Source organism: Homo sapiens, chromosome 21 (genome assembly GCF_000001405.40).
Source record: "Homo sapiens chromosome 21, GRCh38.p14 Primary Assembly".
Classification (NCBI taxonomy): domain Eukaryota; kingdom Metazoa; phylum Chordata; class Mammalia; order Primates; family Hominidae; genus Homo; species Homo sapiens.
Genome location: NC_000021.9, coordinates 32,315,200 through 32,336,357, shown reverse-complemented (window position 1 = coordinate 32,336,357; position 21,158 = coordinate 32,315,200). Strand labels below are relative to the sequence as shown.

General features: G+C 46.7%; 1 protein-coding gene across 1 annotated transcript in view, besides 2 other annotated features; it reads left to right on the top strand.

The window, feature by feature from the left end:
• URB1 (URB1 ribosome biogenesis factor) overlaps positions 1 to 21,158 on the top strand; it is an 81,995-nt gene that overhangs the window by 56,655 nt on the left and 4,182 nt on the right. Inside the window, exons 29-38 of the mRNA NM_014825.3 lie at positions 2,024 to 2,195; positions 2,939 to 3,041; positions 10,969 to 11,129; positions 11,756 to 11,867; positions 13,774 to 13,880; positions 14,414 to 14,557; positions 15,718 to 15,827; positions 16,944 to 17,141; positions 18,441 to 18,682; positions 19,293 to 19,892. Coding sequence (NP_055640.2) covers positions 2,024 to 2,195; positions 2,939 to 3,041; positions 10,969 to 11,129; positions 11,756 to 11,867; positions 13,774 to 13,880; positions 14,414 to 14,557; positions 15,718 to 15,827; positions 16,944 to 17,141; positions 18,441 to 18,682; positions 19,293 to 19,892 — 1,949 coding nt within the window. The remainder of the gene's footprint in view (positions 1 to 2,023; positions 2,196 to 2,938; positions 3,042 to 10,968; positions 11,130 to 11,755; positions 11,868 to 13,773; positions 13,881 to 14,413; positions 14,558 to 15,717; positions 15,828 to 16,943; positions 17,142 to 18,440; positions 18,683 to 19,292; positions 19,893 to 21,158) is intronic.
• Positions 819 to 2,018: an enhancer, noted in NCBI's record as "CDK7 strongly-dependent group 2 enhancer chr21:33706649-33707848 (GRCh37/hg19 assembly coordinates)". NCBI's record gives its function as "activates an origin of replication core promoter dependent on BRD2, BRD4, P300/CBP, MED14 and CDK7 cofactors, with strong dependence on CDK7, by STARR-seq in HCT116 cells {active_cell/tissue: HCT116}" and the evidence as "EXISTENCE:reporter gene assay evidence [ECO:0000049][PMID:35650434]".
• Positions 5,111 to 5,703: an enhancer, noted in NCBI's record as "NANOG hESC enhancer chr21:33702964-33703556 (GRCh37/hg19 assembly coordinates)". NCBI's record gives its function as "activates a minimal SCP1, AML or CMV promoter by ChIP-STARR-seq in naive H9 embryonic stem cells {active_cell/tissue: H9 hESC(naive)}" and the evidence as "EXISTENCE:reporter gene assay evidence [ECO:0000049][PMID:30033119]".

Sequence of the window (21,158 nt, the reverse complement as noted above, 5' to 3'; positions counted from 1 at the left end):
GACTGGGCCAAGGAAGATTGTTCAGGAGAGCTTGCAGGGAGGAGAAAACAATTTCCACGTCAAAGTACTTTGTTTAAAGATTAGAGCTGTATCAGCCCAGAAGCTATCTCCCAACCCTCCCCACCCCACAAAAAAAAGAAAGAAAAAGGAAATGAAAACATTTTTTTCTGTCTCTTAAGAATGCCCAGGGCTTGCATAGAAGCTCTTTTCCTTTCTCCTGCGGCAGCCTCGCTCTTTTGACGTCGGAGCTGGTGCTATGTCAGTTATGTCCTTTCTGGAGTAGAATAGCCCTTCTTATGTGAGGAAGAGGGGAGAGCAAGTCGGAGGCGGGTTTTATCACAGTGCAGCATTGTTCCAGCTACCCATTTCTGCAGAACGACCTCTAACACAGCAGAGAACGCCAAGCGAGGCTGCCCAGGGAGTCACAGGACAGGGCTGGCTGTGAAGGGAGTCTAGTTTCAGCTGCCGGGGAAGAGCGAATCAAGGATGTGCCGCTCACTGGCACTGTGGCTCTAAGGGGCACAGAGCATTTCCGCAAACAAAATAAACATCTCGTCCTTAGATGAGGGAGCAGGCCTGAGCTCGGGGAGCTGAGCTGGGGATCCTGGACGCTACGTGGCGGCTCTCCCGCCGGTCTGTGATGGGCAGTCTGCCGGGTGTGCCTGGCGCATGGGCTCTCTGCCTGCCAGAAACTGGGGTGAACAGCGAGCATTCCTGAAAGGATGATTCTTTCCTTTTCTGACATTAGTGACTGTTGTCGACTTGCACAGAAGCGAACCTGTATTTAGAAGAATTTTGTTTAGAAGTATTTAGCTCTATAGATAATGTTCCTTGATTGCCTGGAGGCGCTGGGCTTGGTGCTCTCAGGAAAACCTATGGGAATGAGATACAGTCTTCCCATCTGCTGAGGGTAACAGACTGTGAGAAATTTAGACATTTTTAAAGTGGCAGCTGACTCACGCCCCGTGATATAAACCAGCTCTTACAGGAGCACCAAGAGCCAGGCCCTATGTGCTCAAGACCGATTCGTGCCAGGGTTGGCATTTGGCGAGTCAGAGGGATTTAATTGAGGTGAGGTGGGCAGAGGGGCCTGGGGCAGCAGGAGGAGGAAACAGCATGCAGGAGTGGAAACTCAGGACATTTGGGGAAAGGGTGAGTAGCCCGGCTTATCGGGGTCATTGGATGTGTGCAGGGAAACAGGCAATGGGAAGGCCACGTGGATTGCCAGTGGAGGGTGAAAGTACCAGATGGAAGCATTTCCATTCCATCTGGGAGACAGCAGGGAAGCATTCCTCGTCACAGCTGGGCTCTGGGGAGCGGCCTGGCAGCAGCGGGGCAGCAGCAGGGCAGTGGATGGGGGAGGGAGGAGGAGAGTTGGGGGAAGTGCTAGGCTGGAGTCATTTTCTAGGAGGAAGGAAGGCAAGGTGGCCTCTGACAGCTGTGGTGGCGGTTGAGGTATGAAGGTTGTCCATAGCACACACATGGTGGGCTTAGCCGAAAGGCTTGTGTAGGCAGACCTGGTTCACTCGTGGCCACATGTGAGCAGTGAGAGATCAGAATTCTGCCGCTATGTTCTAGCATGGACTCAGGAGCCAGACTTCCTGAGTCTGAATCCCAGCCCTGCAACATACCATCTGAGCAGGTGAGCAGCTGAGCAACTTGCTTAATCCTCTCCGCACCTCTTTCCCCCATTTGCACAAGGGGTATAATAATAGTACCCACCTGATGGAGATGTTGTGCAGATTGAGTGAATTGATCTACATGAAGGGCTTAGAATAGGGCCAGCTGAGTAGACACCAGCTTCTGTCGTCATCACTGACACTGTCACCCACCCTCAGCCTCACCATCACCACCACCCACTTCGTAAGCTGTGATGGGATTGAGTGATATAACACGTCGCATGCTCAGAACAGCACCTGGTGTGAACTGGCAGCCTGACAACTGCTACCTGTTGTTGTTATCATGATTAATTCTGTTCCCGGGGGGCTCTGTGACCAGTCTCTTTTCCCTTTTCTGGCTCTAGGGTGCTGCTGTGGGGCCCAGCGGCCGTGGAGCATCACAAGACGTGCCGGAGCCTGGGCAGGTCACTGTGGCAGCAGCCGAGTGTCGGGGACATCCTTCGCCTGCTGGACCGGGACCGGATGATGCAGACCATCCTGCACTTCCCCCAGAACCGGAGGCTGCTGCCCCCCGAGGTTGGGCTGCTGCTGTTCTGTCCCTACCCACCCCTTCACCCCAGCCTCAGGGGCTCCATCTGCACCCTCAGCTTCGTTTTTCTTGTTATTTACCTTTTTATTAAGTAAGAATCTTATCATATATAAAGGTATAGAGACCAGACCCTCATAAGCCCACCGCCCAGCTGCAACAATGATCTGCACTGGCCACGCTTGTTCTGTTTATACCACTCTGTTCCCCTGCCCCCAAGGAGATTATGTTGCAGCACATCCCAAGGATCCTATCATTTCATGTACAAGCACTGCTTTTTACACAAGCACTTTGCTTTATGCCCTTAAATATTCAAAATAATTTGAGCTCTGGCAGTAGAGGGTAAACAGTTATGCCATACAGGTTGAGAATCTCTAATCTGAAAATCCCAAATCTGAAATGTTCCAAAATTTGAAGCTTTTTGAGCACTAACATGAGATAGAGACGCCTTTGCTTTCCTGAGGGTCAGTGTACAGAGACTTTCTTTCATGCACAAAATTATCTTAAATTCCTGTATAAAGTTACCTGCATGCTATGTATATTACGTGCATATGAAACATAAATGATTTGTGTGTTTAAACTTGGCTCCCATCCCCAAGATATCTCATTATGTATGCAAATATTCCAAAATCTGAAACATTTCTGATCCCAGGTGTTTCAGATAAGAGATACTCAACCTGTATTACCTTTGTGAGGTTGAATCACACGTTTTTGTTGATTTTGGCTCTTTCAGGACACACAGGAGCTGATATTCAAAGACAAAAGCAGGGTGGATCTTGATGGCCTCTATGACCCCTGCTTTCTCCTTCAGCTCTTCAGTGAGCTGACCAGGCCAGGTAACTGCAGTCTTCTCTTGGGTCAGGGCTTGCTATGCATGACTTCTCAGAGGTCAGGTTGATTATGGTAATTATTGCCATAATTACCACATGAGGACCTGAATCTTGGAAATAATTCTTAAAGGATCTTCAGCCATCCTCATCTGTTCATTCCAGTGATTTTCAGCAAAGTCACAGTTAGTATTTTGAACATACAGTGATTTAAAAAAAAAAATTGTAATTTTAAAATCTGGAAATGTCCAATTGTCTTTGATGTTTTCCTAATTCCTAATGATGAACATTTTCTGCATTTTTATTAGTTACTGGTCAAATACCAACAGAAATGAGAGATTTTAGTCCTGATAATGGGTCAGCCTGCTGAGGTTGCCTTTTTCTTGGCTTAAGTACATTTTGGAAATTATGTTTTGTGTCTAGTAGCCTCAGAGTGGGAGTCCTTGTGGGTGAATGGGTTGTGGGGAGAGAAAGAAACACTTCCATGTAACGCACATTGAGAAACACTGAGATTGATCTTCCCAGGCTGGTCAGGTCTCTTGGTTGGGAGCATTCTGACAGTGTGCAGGGATAGCTCATTGTGGCTTGAATTTGCATTTTTCTAATGGCTAATGATGTTGAACATCCTGTGGCTTATTTGCTATCTGCACATCCTCTTTGGTGAAATGTCTGTTCATGTCTTTTGCCCATTTTCTAATGGGATTTTTTGTTTTTTGTTTTTTTAACTATTGAGTTTGGGGATTTTTTTTTTTTTTTGTCTTTTGTTTTTTTAACTTGAGTTTGGGGATTTTTTTTTTTTTTTTGTCTTTTGTTTTTTTAACTTGAGTTTGGGGATTTTTTTTTTTTTTGTCTTTCTTTTTTCAACTATTGAGTTTTGAGTGTTCTTTATATATTCCAGATACTAGTCCTTGGAAGGATTTGTGGTTTGCAAATATCTAACAATCCGTAGCTTATCTTTTAATCCTTTTAACAAGTTCTTTCACAGAGCAAAAGCTTTTAATTTTGATGAAGCCCATTTGGTCAGTTTTTCCTTTTACGGATCATGCTCTTGGCATCTAAGAACTCTGTCTACTCCTAGATCCTGAGGAATTTTTCTTATGTTTCTATCTAAAAGTTTCTAGTTTTACTCTTTAAATTTAAGCCCGTGATCTGTTTTGAGCTCACTTTTCTGTGAGGTGTGATGTCCAGGTCTGGATTCATACTGCTTCACCTGTTGTTGTCAGTTGTTACAGCCTCTGTGTGTTGAAAAGTCCATCTGTCCCGCTTGTGACTGTTGGTTGAGATGGGGGTCCCAGCTGCTCACTGGGCCTCTGCAGGTCTTTCCTGGCGGGGACAGGTAGAAGTGGGGGCTGCCCAGTCACTGCTGGGCATGCTGAAAGTCCTTACTCTCTGCTAGGCTTCCTCTGACACCCCAGTGGGGGCAGGAGGAGTGTACTGTCACTGCCCAGGAGAGGAACATCCTGCCTCCCTACTTGGCCTTCTCTCATGCCACCCCAACAGGGGATTTGGGGCTCCTCTTTCCAGCCTGGCAGGGGTGGGAGTCTAGGCTCCACCTTTGCTGGTGTGGCTGGGAGTGGGGCACAGTGAAGTGTTTGGCTGAAGTATCGCCGCTCTTGGCTCACAGTTTTCTGTCTTGCTAGGCAGCCCTTTTTCCATTCTTTTTTGTTAGAGAGAACAGGCTTTTGTTCCGGCCTTTGTGTGTGTGAGAGCCTGTCGATGTTTCCAGGTTGCTGACTTGAGTTCTAAGTCTAGGACAAATGAGGCAAGAAGACAACCCAGGAACGCACTCCCTTGTTCTTTGGGTCTCAAGGTCTCTGACTGGTCTGCTTTCTTTCTACCTTCCAGAATCATCTTATATTTGTTCTACATATGATGCTCAGTATTTTTAGTTCTACTTGATAGGAAGAATAGGAAAAAGCATGTCTACTCCATCTTGCCAGAATTGGGAAGTCTAAGTTCATTAATTTTTAACATTAGGTAATACATTCACAGTTTGAAATTCAGCAGGTGCTGAAGGGTATACAGGGAAAATGCACTTCCTGCCCTACCTCTGGCCACAGTTTCCTCATTCTAGAGGGAGAACTGTTGCAGTTCCTCATGTTTTCCTAGGTCCAGCTTGAGATTCCAGTGGGGTGTGCTGGGGGTGTGGCGGCACACATTTTGCTTCTGTGCTGGTTCGCGTGATCCCTGAATGGACTCCCAGACTTCACAACTGGGGAGATTTAGGTGCACTGGGGAGACATTGTTCCACTATTCATCCTGTTTTCCTCCTTTTTAAACTTGAAATTTTATTTTCTCAACAAATGCTCCTACTTCTGAATAGATTTGCCAATCCTCTATCAGTGCCCTTTGTATCCCTTTTAAAAAGATCAAAGAGGCTAGGATATCATAGAGATCTTCCCATCAATAGGCCTTTGTGTTGGCTCTAGCTCCCCATGGTGAGCACTGTGCTCTGTTGCTGAAGCTGGATTTTGTTTGCAAGAGAGCAGGGGGCATTTCATACAAATGTCAGATTACGGTAATAGCAAATGGATATCTTAATTGCCCTGATGGCGATTTTAAGCAGCAGGCTAACTGCAGCAGATCTCCTAGTCAGTGGCCAGGAAGCTCTTCTGATTTCCCCTGTGCCTCAGTGGTGCTGCTAAATCTGTTACTCATCAAACATGGAAATAAAGTTTCCATACTCTAAAAAAATGCAAGACTACTGGACCTTTTAACTTTAGTGAATTATAACAGATAGAGCTTTCAGGAGAAAAAGGCTTGGAAAAAGTTTAATAGCAAAATCAGGATGTTAATTTTCATGAAATCTTGAGTACTGTGCTTTTTTTTTTTTTTTCCCTTGGTCTGGGAGGACTTTTTTGAAGAGCTGTCATTAGTAAATGGTCTTTCAAATTAGGAAAATGTACCAGGTACCAGTTTCCTTACCTTAAATTTCCAAATACGACTATTTAAGTTTTATTGGTTTAATACAGGTAGAAAAATTTGCAGAGCTTGCCTATCCCAATTTGAAAAGGAATTGCAATAGTCAAAAATTTACACGAAAAATTCATATCAAAGTAGAACATTTCAAAAGGCATACAGGTGGAGAGGGAAATGGATATACCCAAAAAAAAAAAAAAAAAAAAAAACACTCCCCAAAAAGTACATTTCTTAGATGTTGCTCTGAGCATCTTGTCATCCCAAACGAAAGATGGAGGCCTGGTTTTTAAACAGATTTCATTGACTGCTGAAAGGAAGCACACTCATTCATTGGAAGAGGCAAATTCCTGGCACTAAAATAGTTGAAGTGTGACACATAGAAAAGTCAGTAGTGGTGACACCACCAGTGAGATCAGGGCATAGAACAGTAAGCAGCTCCTCAAGCCCCTTCCTCCCTAGAAGGGGCCAGCATCCTGTATTTGAACTTCATGTAAATGGCGATACACATGATGTAATCTTTGCTGCCAAGCTGCATCTATCCCATGTTACATTTGTGAGATTCAGCTATGCAGAGTGTAGCAGAAGTTCTCAACTGTATGTTTTTACTTCCTGCGGTGGCATCTGGGTCCAGATATTGCTAAACTAACTGCAATCCTAAATTGAGCATCCAATTAATTTTTATATGTGGCTGCCAGTCTTGAGAGTAATTACAGTCCCACTGCTCCGTTTTCAGCCCTTTGCTGGAAATGGGAACCTATTTTCTTAACCTTATTCCTTCCCTTCTTTGAGTCCTTGGCCAAGAAACAGGGCCAGCCAAGGCTGTTAGCAATGGCAGTGACAAATGCTTTTTCCACAGCAAACTCTTGTCCTCAACAGAACTGGGCTGAAATCTACAGCTCATAATTCACACATGCCACAAGGCAGCCAGAACAGGAAGCCCCATTTGCAATTCTCTGAGCCTCATCACTAGATGACCAGAGCACGCAGGCTCCTCTGACTCTTCTCACTGTGATGAGTCTAGCCTATTGGGGTGCCTCTGGGGGATATTATGTAAAAAGAGGTGTAAGGAAGATTTCTGATGCTCCAACAGCAGTTACACTGCTACTGAAGCCCACTAATACTGGGGCACATTTTTTTTTAAGAGTCAGGGTCTCACTCTGTCACCTAGGTTGGAGTGCAGTGGCATGATCATGGCTCACTGTATACCCAAACTCCTGTTCAAGCCGTCCTCCTGCCTCAGCCTCCTGAGTAGCTAGGACTGCAAATGTGCACCACCATGCCTAGCTAATTTTTTTTTTTTGGTAGAGACTGTATCTCTCTATGTTGCCAGGGGAACTCCTGGCCCCAAGTAATCCTCCCACCTCAGCCTCCCAAGTTGCTGGGGGATTACAGCACCTTGGGAGGCTGGGTGAGCCATTACACCCAGTTCTGGGGCAGTTTTAATTTTAATCCTTGATAACTGTCCTGGTTAAGCCATTTTGATCTGAAGGTCTGTTAAGGCCACGTTGCTATTCATGAGGTTCTTGAAACAAAGAGAATGGCATTTATAACTATTTTTAAATAGCCTATCATGTTTTCAGCATTCTGAGGGCGGCTCTTTTCCATAAGTGTTACAAAGCCAAGATTTTCATAGAGTAGCAGAGATGAGCACAAAACAGGAAACTGACTTTTCCTCATGGACACGTGGAAAATCCATTTGTCTTAGAATGTCAGTGATTACTAAAAATATCCCAGCCAGCTGAGTATTAGCTGCTTTTAGTGAGTATAAACTAAATGTTTAGACTTTTCTCTTTCCCAAATGTATTCCATTTACCTATATTTGTTATGTACTTATGTAGGTGTCTCTTAAACACATTTCTTCCATCTTTTGTAAAACAATATAATTGTATCTAGTTTGGTGCTTTTAAAGCTTTTGGATTTCTTTTTCCCTCTTATCAAAAACAGTCACTTGTGAGAAATAAGAAAATTAGGCTGGGCACGGTGACTCATTCCTGTAATCCCAGCACTTTGGGAGGCCAAGGCGAGCTGATCACTTGAGGCCAGGAGTTTGAAACCAGCCTGGCCAACATGGTGAAACCCCGTCTCTACTAAAAATAAGAAAATTAGCTGGGCATGGTGGCACATGCCTGTAGTCCTAGCTACTCAGGAGGCTGAGGCACAAGAATCGCTTGCACCCGTAAGGTGGAGGTTACAGTGAGCCAAGATTGTGCCACTGCACTCCAGCCTGGGCGACAAAGGAGACTCTGGCTTTAAAAAAGTAGAGATAAGAGAATTAGAAAATTTTGTTCCTAAACTGCTATGCCCAAGAGTCATCTGACTATGCTCTTTTCATCCTTTCACTTTTAGTCTATGTCTTGATATTGAAAATGGGTTTCTTGAAGGCAGCATGTACCTAGGTTCTGCTTTTTATCTAATCTGACCATCTCTGCCTTTTATTTTGGAGTGCATACATCATTTATATTTAATGTGATTATTGATCTGACTCTATTTTATCTCTTGTTGACTTTTACCTGCAACTTTTGTATGTGTATGAGTGCATGCATGCATATTTTTACTGGTTGCTTTAGGGTTTATAGTACACATCTTCAATCTATTATAGTTTATCTTCAAGTGAGATGATACCACTTCATGTATAGTATAAGGACCTTGTAACAGTATAGATCCATTTCCTCCCTTCTGGCTTTTCTGCTATTCTTGTCATGCATTACATTTCAGTATGCTATAAACCCTACAATATAGTGTTGTTTTTGCTTCAAATTGTCATTATTTCTAAAAGAAGTGTAAATATTTGATATTTGCCATATTGTTACCATTCCTTTGTGTAGATCTAGATTTCTATCTGGTATCATTTTTCTTCTTCCTAAAATACTTCCTTTAAGAATTCTTATTGTTCAAGTCTACTGGTGACCAATTGTTTTAGCTTTTTTGTGTCTGAAAAAAGTCTTAACTTTTGAAAGATTTTGATACTGGTGACCAATTGTTTTAGCTTTTTTGTGTCTGAAAAAAGTCTTAACTTTTGAAAGATTTTGATGGGGTATAAAATTCAAGGTTGACAGTTTTTTTTCTTACAGTACTTTAAAGAAGTTGCTCCTCTGGTTTCTGAATTGAGTTATTTCTGACAAGAAATCTGCCATTCTTATCTTCATTCTTCTGTATGTCATGTGGCTGCTCTTAAGATTTTTTTTAAATCACTGGTGTCAAACAATTTGATCACAATGTGCTTTCGTGTGATTTTCTTTTATATATAAATATATATGCTTTATTTGTGATGATGCTTGCATGATATTCTTAATGTTTTATGTTTTGAGTTTCTTGGCTGTCTAGGTTTATAGTTTTTTTTGGTCAGATTTCAAAAAGTTTTGGCCATTATTTCTTCGGATTTTTTTCAGGGACCCCCTATTACACATACCCACAGGACACTGATGTTCTGTTCATATTTTTCCTCTCTGTGTTTTCAGCTTGGATAGTTTCTATTGCTGTCTTAAGTTCGCTAATCCTTTTTGGTCTAGTGTCTAATCACTGATAATCCCATCTCTATTGGTCCATTCTTGCACTGGTATAAAGAACCCGAGACTGGATAATTGATCAAGAAAAGAGGTTTAATTGACTCATGGTTTCATAGTCTGTGTAGGAAGCATGGCTGGGGAGGCCTCAGGAAACTTTCAATTATGGTAGAAGGCAAAGGGAAAGCAGGCACATCTTACATGCCAGAGCAGGAGGAAGTGGGGCAGTGCCACACGCTTCTAAACAACCAGCTCTTGTGAGAACTCACTAGCATGAGAACAGCAAGGGGAAATCTGCCCCGAGATCCAATCACCTCCCACCGGAGTCCCCACCTCCAACATGGGGGTTTGTAATTCAACATGAGATTTGGGTAGGGCCACAAATCCAAACCATTTCACCATCCAATGCATTTTTCAGCTCAGATATTTTAGTTTTCATCTCTAGAAGCTTGGTTTTGGGTTTTTGTATCTTCTGTGTCCCTGCTTAAAATGCTTTATCTTTCTTTAACTTTTAAAAATGTCATCAATGGACTATCTCTTATTGATGTTATATTCCATGATTACTCATTTGGAGTAGTCATTTCAGTTGGCTTGTGTTTGGTTCCCAATTAGGCCACTGGTCACTCTATCTCGAGAACATCATTGTGGATAATTATCATGATCAGTTTAATCATTAATAATTAATTCCTATTCTAAGGTTCTTCTTGACAGTATTTATCTTGTAGAATAGCCTGGGTTTTTATTAAGGAGTGGGAAGGTGTCCTCAGTTTCGTTAGTGAAGAGCCCTCTAGGTTGTGGTAAGGCGCATCCCCTCATGTGTCTGACCTTCTCCCTCTCTCTGTGAGTCTTCTCCTCTCCTCTAGTGATTGTCAGCTTCTCTCGGCCTCACAAATGGCAAATGGATACCAGCCAACAGGCTCTCTGGACCGTAGCTTTTGCTTAAGCTTGATGAGCCACTTTTCTGTGAGACTTGTGTTGTTTATTTGAAGGAAGAGCTAGGGTTGCAGAGTGGGTGTGAGTGAGTCCTTTGTCGGGCTGGTTGGCATCAGCTGCCTTTTCCTGCTTTCACTGCTGTGTGTGCTTTCCTCGGTGATGCTTATAGACAGGCGCCCGCGGTGGAGGGCTGAGCAAGGTGGAAGCTGGGGACTGATTTTCTCTGCTGATTCCCAGTTGTGTTCCCCAGGCCTCTGGCATGCTGGGGTCTCCGCAGTGGGTCTCAGTGTCACCTCCAATATCCTGACTCATTGGGTGTTTATGAGAAATAATGAAATTATCCTGGTTGGGATGTATGAGCATTTTAGAAACTGAAGGTATGGTCATTATTGCCACATAAAGGAAGAGGTTTTTTTGTCTAACTTCAGCAGAAGTTAGGAGGAGTTGGAGAGAGACTTGCATTCCTTGTGCTTGGCACATGTAGCTATTGGTAAGACACAAGAGGAAATTTAATTCTCCAGGTTAACAAGAATAATAAAATCATATTGTGTGTGTTTCATGCTGTATTTCATTTCCTGCAGAGTTTGTGGTGGATTGTCGAAAATTTTTGGATTCAAATGCTCTGGGCCTAACTGTCACAGCCCTCAGCAGCTATGACCCCCAGATGCGAGCCATAGCCTACCATGTCCTGGCGGCCTACTACTCGCACTTGGAGGGCGCACGGTTCCAAGAGCAGTCCCAGGTAAGTAGGAAGAGCGTACATCCTACTGTGGGGGTGGGCCTGGCGGACTTCAGAGAGCTGGCTGTCCACCCGGTTTGGTAGAAGGATTTACTAGGGAACACGGAGGTGGCATGTTGCCGGGAGATCTCTGCTGAAGAGCAAAAGTCTGTTCCCTTAGGAGGTGATCCCGGAGGTCGCCTTTGATCCACAACCCCCCGTGGAGGTTGAGAAAGGTTTCTCCTTACAGGCTTTCTTGTGTTGTGTGTAGACAAAATTATATGACTTCTACTGAGTATTTCTTTGGTCTAAACTCAGTGGTTAAGGTGGCTATTATCCACGACACACTGAACCTTAGAAACCTGTACCCCATGGTGCTGGAGGAACAAGAGCAGATTAGATTTTCAGGGCATGGTGCCAGACTTCTCTCTGCTGTTGTGCACCTGACTGACTCCTAAAATAAAAACGAAAAGCGTTCCGGAGATGCTGGCAAGTAGTGTGTCTGCTCCTGTGAGCTTCGTCTTCAGTGGCCCCTGGGATATGAGAAGCAGGCACACCCTGCCGAGCCCTGGTTCGGCTGCACCAGAGAGGACTGACCATAGCTCTGAACACGCTCATCTTACATTTTCCTTTTCTGTTCTGTTTTCAAGCTACTTTACCTGTTGGATGTAGTCCGGAATGGGATTCGAACTCAGGACATGAGACTTACTTTTACCTTGGCTCTCTTCATTGCCAAAGCAGCCCTGCAGATTTTGAAACCAGGTACCACTGACATAATTAGGTTGAGGGGAAATTGAAAAGCTGAAGCTGAGCAAGTCTACTTCTAGGGATTAGTCCCACAGGTATAGTGGGTCACACATCTGTGTTCAAGGCCACTCCGTGCTCATGATTGTGGAAGATGAGGAGCCACCGAAGTCCCCATCAGCTCTGGACAGTAAATAGGTGATGGCTATGAGGAAGCTCGTCATGGACCCCTGGGGGGTGAAATCCAGAAAAAAGTAGATGGCAAAGCAAAGTGCAGAACAGTATTTATAATGGAGGGAAAGAGTATATATTCATATTCGCTTGTAGTTATAGGAAACTGTGGTGAGAGCAAATAAAACTGAAGTTAAAATGTGGGCCAATCACATCATAGGGATTGGAACCCAGGGGCTGAAAGCGTGGACACAGCCAGACGGTCCTGGACTTCCCCATGCCCGTTTCCTCCTCTAAGATGGGGTGATGATCGGACTCACTGCCTCTAGCATTGCTGTGAGGGTGATGAGGATCACACACTTTTTTTGTTTTTTGGAGACACGGTCTGGCACTGTCACCCAGGCTGGAGTGCAGTGGCATGATCTCGGCTCACTGCAACCTCGACCTCCCAGGCTCAGGTAATCTCTTACCTCAGCCTCCCGAGTAGCTGGGACTACAGCGAATGCCACCACGCCTGGCTAATTTTTTGTAGAGACAGAGTTTCATTATGTTGCCCAGACTGGTCTCAAACTCCTGGGCTCAAGCGATCCTCCTGCTTCAGCCTCCCAAAGTGCTGGGATTACAGGTGTGAGCCACCATGCCTGGCCTAGATCACGCACACTAACACACATGTAAGTGCCTGGCACAGTAAAAACTCATCAGTGATAGCTGCCGTCACCATCACCGCCATTATTCATCATTGATTCATGCTTAGGCTCACGGGTCCTTAGCTACAAAGCTTTTGGTATGTGAGTACTGCACATGTGTAATCCACGCTGTTAGAACAAGGCTCCTTTTTGTTACAGGAATGGGGGTACCACTGCTAAGATAGTGTGACTAGAAGTTAGCTCATTCTAAGACTTTTTTTGGTTATTGAGAGAAAAATCATAGAAAGTTGGTACCATCAGGGACCACAGGGTGCTGTTTCCACCTGTATCCCCCATACTCACTAACTGAGGCTCCCAAGGGTAGATAGCTTGTCAAGGCCCCACAGTTAGTTCACAGTCAAGTTGCTATTAGAATTCAGATCTCATTTTCATCTGCTCCCATTTCATTTTATTCCATGGATTTACTTGCCTTGGAGATTTGGAAGGGGAAGAAAATAATTGGCAGAGACCATGATGGTTTTGGTCCTGGGTGTGGCTGTGTCCCACACCGGTGCTCATGTCGGGGTGGAGCGTGTGCAGGGCAGCATGGTCATGGGGTAGACTCATTGGTGATCCAAGGATAGGAGGTAGCAGGAGCTAGGGTGTCCGTTGCCCTCTGCGTTGCTGCATTCCAGAGGCACTCAGTAGTGTCTGAGCCTCCCCCGCTGTGACGGTTCCTTTCAGTTAGAAGCTAGAGGCAGGTGCAGCGGGTGGGTGTGGTGTCAGCCCTGATCTGTGGGATGTGTGACCAAGTCCCACCCTTCCCACCGGCTGGTTTGAAGCCTGTGCTGTAGGACGGTAGCTGGGGAGGCGGAGGGTGCGAGGTCCCTGAAGGACTCAACATCCAGCAGTGGTTTCAGAGCTAGGAGAGCAAGCCCATGTGTGGTATGGAGCTGACGTGTTGAATTCTGTTCTCATTCTCAAGAGCCAGTCCTCTGGGTCAGGACACAAAAGTTCCTGGGAGGGGATTTATGTCTGATACCCAGAATGCCTGCCTCTTAGTGCTGCCAGACCAGGGGGCGTCCTGCTGGGGCCTGCCATGACTGACTGACTGCCTGTGTTCTCAGAGGAGCACATGTACCTGAAGGTCAGCAACTTCCTGCTGTCGCATGAGTACTTGAACATGGACAAAGTGCCAGGCTTCTACCAGTTCTTCTACAGCTCCGACTTTGAGGTATGCTTCCAGAGTCCTCACGGCTTTCTGCAGGCCCCTGAATTGATGATGCAGCCACCGTTGTCATTCTGACATTTCCCCATGGATCCTGTATGCTGCACGGCCAACACGATTGTGCAGTCGGTGGCCACGCAGGCCTGCACTTCGGAATGTCTCCGTGCTGTTGGCTCACTTCTACATGGCGCCTCAAACCTTAAAAACTCTGCTTCAGAGTCCTGAGTTTTACGACATTCTCATATTTTCTTGGTGAATCACTGGGTTAAATATTAAATTCTGTTTTTAGATATTCATATTAAATATTCTTTTATAGAATACTTATCTGACTTCAGTATTTAAACTTGACTCGATCCTCTATTTCTGACCTGAAGAAATGGAATCAAAGATGAGATCAGGGATTTTTCATAATCAGACATGGAGGTCAGGGCTGCTGTGTTACAACTTTTGCCACCACTTAAAATAGTGGTGTTTGAACAGTTGTCAGATGAAAGGACTTTCACTTATTAACAACAGTTTTTTGTGTGCCTGGGTTATAGCAAAAAACAGAGCAGAAGTGGGTGTTTGGCGTTCTGCGGCAGGGGATCCGTGACAAGCAGTGCTACGAACTGTGTGCCCGGCGTGGCATCTTCCACATCATCCTGTCCTTCTTCCACAGCCCGCTGTGTGACGAGGCAGCACAGGTACATGGGTTCCGCAAGCTTATTTGAGAGCGAGAGGTCTGTGCCCCTTCTTAAGATTTTATCTGGAAGTCAAGTCCGTATGAATTCAGTTCCCAGCCTGGACACGACCGACCTAACCCTGGCTCTCAGTTAGGGGAAGTGAGATGTTGAGAGCGCCTGTCCTGTTCCCTGCATGCAGAGCAGGTGGATTCACTTGAGGCTGCAGTGTTGTGACCCCCAGTGTCATTTGTCCTCTAAATACTCTTCACTGCAACCCTCCTACTGTGTATACGGCCCTTGGCATATACGAAGGCCATCAGTGGGGGGTACTGATCAGTAATCATGAGCCTTCAGAGTGGTCACAAGTCTAGAAACCCCCTGTCAGTGACTGAGGTACTCTGAGGCACTTTTGAATCACCAGGATTCCACCTACTACAGAAGTTGGGGGTTGTCAGAACTCATTTAGAAAGCAAGGGTCAGGTTGAAACAGACAGCCTCACCTAGCCAGTCAGGAACCAAGAGCTGGTGTGTGTACCTTCTAAATATTACAGGTAGGTGGTAGAAGGAAATAGGAAAAGCTTTTAGTATTTTGATTAATTTCTAGCGTAGTCAGCTTTTGTTTCTCATATGTAAAATGTGGGTAAATAGGAGTAAGTCAAGATTAAGAAGCCCATTTGAATAAACTGAATTTGAGTATAGTAACTTTTTGTTTTCTATGGCATGTGAGAATTCTGAAGCACCCCATGAACAAGTCAGGGGACCATCCCATTTTTATGTCCTCCCTTCCAGGTGGTAAACACAGGGCCGCATGGCTCGTGGCTGGCGGCCAGCAGCTGGCCTGGAGGCGGGCCCTCACGCACTCCCTGTGCCGGTGGCTGCGCATCTGGGCCATTTGGCTTCTGTGGTGCATCTTTGCTTGTGGGTGGGTTCCAGATGATGGATTAACGGAAGTGGGGATCCCCGGGCCCAGAGATTGCTGTGGAAGTCTGTGTCCTCTGGCTGTCTCTTGTAGGGAAGGGCACGTTCGTACATGGCCACCGCTCTGACGGACTTAGCAAAGCAGGCTTCATTTGCAGCCACCACCTGTAATGGCACCATACCATTAATTTTTAAAACGGTTTCTTTAATCAAGTAAAGTGGGTTTTCTCACTGAAGAGTAACTTCTTGTTTGGGGTTTTCAGAATTGGATTCTGGAAATTCTACAGAATGCTGCCCAGGTTGCCAGATCTGCGTATGAAATCATACGAGACTATAGCCTTTTAACATGGATTTTACACATCCTTGAAAGCAAGTAAGTACCTTTTGCATGCGAGGTGCGCGTCAGGTGGGAAGGAAAGGAACAGAAACGATGACGTCTGCTGCCAGCTCTGTTGTTGGTTGGAAATGTCCAGTAAAATCCATGCTCTCTGAAATGCAGTGTCCTCCAATGCTACCATATGCCTGGCAGTCCCGTTCCTGGCAGTGCCAAAGTGCCTTTCCTCCATTCACAGCCTTTCCTTGAGTGTCTCTTGTCTGCCATGGGACAGCAGACACCAGCTGCTGTTCACATCTGGCAGAGTCTCCGCCAGCCTGTCTGGCTCTGTTCTGCACAGGTCAGACTCCTCCCCGGTGTCCCAGCAGCCTTCTGTGCTCTGAAGTGAATGTCCTGTTCTCTAAGGCTTTAGCAGCTGCAGCCCTCTTGCAGGAAGGCCGGTCTGACGGGTGACAGGGCTCTGCTGTCAGTGCAGGGTCTCTGTCCTCAGTGATGAGCCCGCATTAGAGGAGCAGCACCAGGGGTCTGAACTTGATGATTTATTGTGATTCCTGATTCTCCTGCTGTTTGAGACTGTCTGAAAAGATGAAGACCCTGTCACAGCAGACAGCACTTGGCGGGAGGGCTCTGTCTTACAAAGAACTAACTACTATAATAAGCCTGGGAGAATGCAGGCCCTTTTGTGCATTTTTTTAAAAGCATTTCCTGAAATTTCTCTAAAAGAAACTAATATATCCAAGTACATCTGCAAACAACAAAAAAAGTGGGTGGGGGGAAGAAATTAATATCCAAAATTAGAATGTGTATTTGGACATCAACTTCAAGACTGTTTCAGGTTTATAAAAGGCACAATTAGCTAATGTTCCTGGCTTATAGTGTCTTGTTTTAGAAATTGAGTTGTTGTCATGAACAGGACAGTTTTTATTAGTGTGCCCCAGCGGCTCCTGAATTTTTGGAGGGACTTAGGGCAATCTTCTGTTAGGACGGTGCACCTTGTCCTGTGTGGAAGCTGCGTTTGTATAGCAAGCACCCTGTTTTTACTTGGAGACTATGCTTATCTAGGGGGATGAGCAGATAGGATTATGGAGGGCGATAGTCTGATCCTGCTGAAAGGTCAGGATGTGGCGGATTGAAGGCTGTTGTGCTTGGTTTTAGGTTTCTGGAGACTCCGCTGCTGTCTAATGTGATCTCCTTGCTACACACACTGTGGGTGACCAACCTGGGGGACAAGGCAGTGGAGTGGGAGAGCCAGCGCCTTTGCCAGCCTAGCTCCCAGGAGCCTGCCAAGCGGCTTGCCCTGCACCTGGTCAATGAGTTCCTTTATGTTCTCATCGTGCTCATGAAGCACCTGAGGTGAGTCCTGCCCCCGCCAGGGGGGCCCTTCTGGCCTCTTGGATGCTGTGTTGGTCTGCCACCTGTGGACACCATGTCTCAGTCATGACTCTGTACCAGGGGGACGCTGGGCCGTGATCTGCTGTGGATTGGGGCAGAGCACCAGTGTCAGGTGTAGGTAGTGTCAGAACATCTATTTTATTAGCTCTTTCTTTGCCCTTCAATTTTATAAAGCTTCTTGTCAAGACCCCGAGAACTTAACATACTTGTTAACATTAACACCTAATGTGCATCGTACGAGGTCATTTTTAGCTGGCGAGCCATCTGCCTTGATACTGTGATTCAAACACTTGAATCAAGTGATGTTTCTTAGAAAGAAAATATTTTCTGTGACTCTAACATAAGACAGGGTGTTCCCAAACTTGCCTCTGCCTTCATTAGCCTGCGAAGACTCATTGTCCATGAATTCTCTGGAATGTTTCAGTATTTTCCTCCGATCCCTTGGAGTCATGCTTTTGGTTTCCTCAGAAGAGCTAAATTTCCCTCCAATTCTACCATGTTACAGAAAATACACTGTGTACACTCATTATTTCTGATTTGGGAGCCAAGTTATGCTAACCGGAACCAGAAGGTTGGTAGCAAGAGGATTGTAATCTCAGAAGGAAAAATGTCCTGATAAAAAGAACAAGGCCTTTTGTTTTGTATTGTTCAAAACTAAATTGTTAAGTCCGTGCTGGATAGTCAACCTTTCCTATGTAGGGATCTTCGGAAGACATGCTGGTGTCTAAGAACCAGTTGCTATTTAAAATACTGGTTTTATGTTTACAATTGTGTGGAACTGATGTTACAGGCTTTAACTGTCTTGGAATTCAGGGAGATCTTTTTCCTCCTGGTGGTCATCAGGTTTTGGCCGTGGGTGGTGACACTGTCCCAGGGCCTCCCTGGGTTTTTCTCACTTTACTGGTGGTCTGTGAGGCAAGGGAAACTGGCAGGCCTGGAGTGGAGCCCTCGCAGGCTCTTGGTACCCTGGCTGTCAAGCTGTGTGTTTGGCTGCCCTGTTTAGCCAGGGTTTCAGGAGGTTTCTGTGCCTGTGGGGTGCAGGTCAGACTCCAGGTCCCCTTTGTGCCTTCCTGGAGTGGCTCACTTTTTTCTTTTCTGCGTCCTGGGGGCCCATGCTAGATGTCTGCTGTGCAGGAAAACCTGGTTCCTGGAGGGACTGTGTGCACCTCTGGGTGTGTGATGTCGTCAGGGTGCCGCAGTGCTGACTGCCAGGCAGGGGCAGCAGCCTTTGCTCAGTCTGTAACATTGACTCCCAAACAGGCCCACCTTGGCCCCCGTCCAGCTGACCAACTTCTTCGGGACACTTGACTCCGTGCTGAGGTACCGGGCCACTGTCATACAGGCCTTTAGGGACATGAACAGATTCACCGTAAATGAGACAGTGCTTTCCACCAAGGACGTCCTTGTCCTCTTGCACAAGTGGAGCCTCATTGAAAGAGACCTCAAGCTCCAGGAAGACCTGAGAGCAGCCATTGAGAAGGCCCAAGCCCGGGAGCTCATGAGTGAGTGTCAGAACCCAGGACTGGCCCAGAGTAGCCAACATGTCTCTCTCACCCTGTCCGTCCCTCCCTCTCTCTCTGTCTCTCAGCCACATTTCCAAAGCTAATGAGGCTCAGAGATGGGACACATCCATCTTGGAGCCCTGGATGGGGAGCTGGGCAGCCTTTGAGTTTCAGCCCAGCTGCTTACTAGCTCCCTGTCTTTGGAGAAGTCACTTCACCTACCTTAGTATCATGGTGCTCACCTGTAAAGAGGCTGGGGGTAGCTATGAGCTACTTGCCCCAACCTCCTCCTGTAGTGCAGGGTTAAGGAAAAGACTGGAACCTGGCCTCCTGGACTGAAGCTCTGATGCTGTCCTGATTCCCTGTGTTTAAAGAGGACAGTAATGGCTTCTACCTCATGGTGTGAGGATTAATAAGTTGGTTATAATAACAGTGATGACAGGCGTAGTGAAACATCGAGCACTCACCAGGCTCCTGACGTGGGAGCAGGGCCGGGTGCTCAGGACATGCAAGCCGCCCCTCGTGTCCCCCATTGACACCTCCCCACATCTGGATCTGTGTGGGCAGGAGGGACCCCAGTCTCATTACCTTCTCTTTGTGCATTTAACAGAAATGCTCAAGGATAAGAACAAGCCTGTCATGCCAGCCCGAGCCAAAGGCCCACGGGGCCGAAAGAGGAGGCCTGGGGAGGCAGAGGAGATGGCTGACCCTGAGCTGATGGCATCTACCTTGGAGACATGCAAGGGCCTCCTGAGGTCCATCTTGACTTACTGGAGACCAGTGATCCCTGGTCCTGACCCCACTCAGGAGCCTGTGGACTCAGCCAGCCCCGAGAGCGATGCGCCAGGCCCCGTATATGCTGCCGCTTCCCTGGCAGTCAGTTGGGTGCTGCGGTCGGTGGCCGAGCACCCGCTCAGCAGGGCAGAGGCTGCAGGACTCATTGGCTGGCTTAAGAGCCATATTTTGCCACACCCTGTGGTCGTGGCTGACCTCCTTAAGGACAGTGCCGTGAGGAGCAGCATATTCAGGCTGTATAGCCGGCTCTGTGGGGCTGAGGGGCTGGCAGGGCCTGTGCAGGAGGTGGCCTGCCTGTTCAATACGGTCATGCTGCAGCTGGTGGCTGCCCAGGGCCGGGCAGGGAGCCCCTTCCACCCGGCCATGGAAGCCCTCTCCCTGTCTTCTCTGAGTGAGAAGGATGAAGCCACACAAGGTAAGGCTGGTTCTTTTGTTGGAGGCTGAAGAAATAGATGCAGAAGTGGGCCTGGGGGCAGGAGTGATTTCTGTGCTTAGAACACTCAGGTTTCTGCTGACTTCCTCAGCTGGGTATTGTGCTTGTTTAGGTGGCCCCTTACGGTTCTGGGGTTGCAGAGAGCTTGCCACTGGGCAGTGAATGTGAAGGGAAGGAAGTCTTTGCCTTTGCTTGCAGGGGAAACCTTTGGTGCTGGTTATGTTGACGGTGCAGAGAGGGCACCTCAGAACCTTGGCATCCCTCCACCCCGCAGGCAATGGGTTTCTGACCATTAGGCACATGATGAGTTCTGTTTCACATGTGGCCAGCTGTGTGTGCGCGTGCGTGCGTATGCTTGCATGTGTGCGCATGTGCATGTGCATGCGCGTGTGTGTGCACATAGAGCTTCACATGCGTATAAATGCGCACATGAACAGTTTATGTACTTGGCAGTCACTAGGAGCCTAGCAGTGTGAATGAGTGAGTAGCACAAGCTCCAGGGGGCCGTTAGAGCTCCAGGGAGGTGGGTGTGGTAACCCAGAGGTCTGTCCTTTCACAGAGGAATGTGGGGGCCCAGGGGAGGGAGGGGCTGGCAGCCTATCGGGTAGGCTCACCTGGTAGCAGGGTGACCTTGCCCTCTGGTCTGGCCGCAGTTGGGGAATTGAGCCTTTTTGCCTGCAAGCTTTCTCCTCCTCCTCACCCATGCCACTGAGGAAATGGTAGGAAATGATTCTGGGAAGTTCTTCTCAAATTTCATTGTCATTCTTGGCATGGATGGTCAGAACCAGGAAGAGACTTGTCTTGTAACAGCTTTTTGAGGGGATCCACACATATTCATCAGAAGAAAGATAAATTTCTGCCAGGCACAGTGGCTCACACCTATAATCCTAGCATTTTGGGAGGCTGAGGTGGGGAGATTGCTTGAGACCAGCCTGGGCAACATAGTGAAACCCTGTCTCTACAAAAATTAGCCGGGCGTGGTGGCACATGCCTGTAGTCCCAGCTACTCTGGAGGCTGAGGTGGGAGGATCACCTGAGCCCAGGCAGTTGAGGCTGTAGTGAGCTGAGATCACACTACTGCACTCCAGTCTGGGTGACAGAGTGAGACCCTGTCTTTTTTTTTTTTTTTTTTTAAAGAAAAGAAACTTTTTAATAATAAAAAAGATTAACACAAAAGTTAAGCAAAGGCAGAGTGAGTTGTTGTATCGGTGTGCTCACCTTGGGTTGCCCAGGCCTGTGGCACGGTTC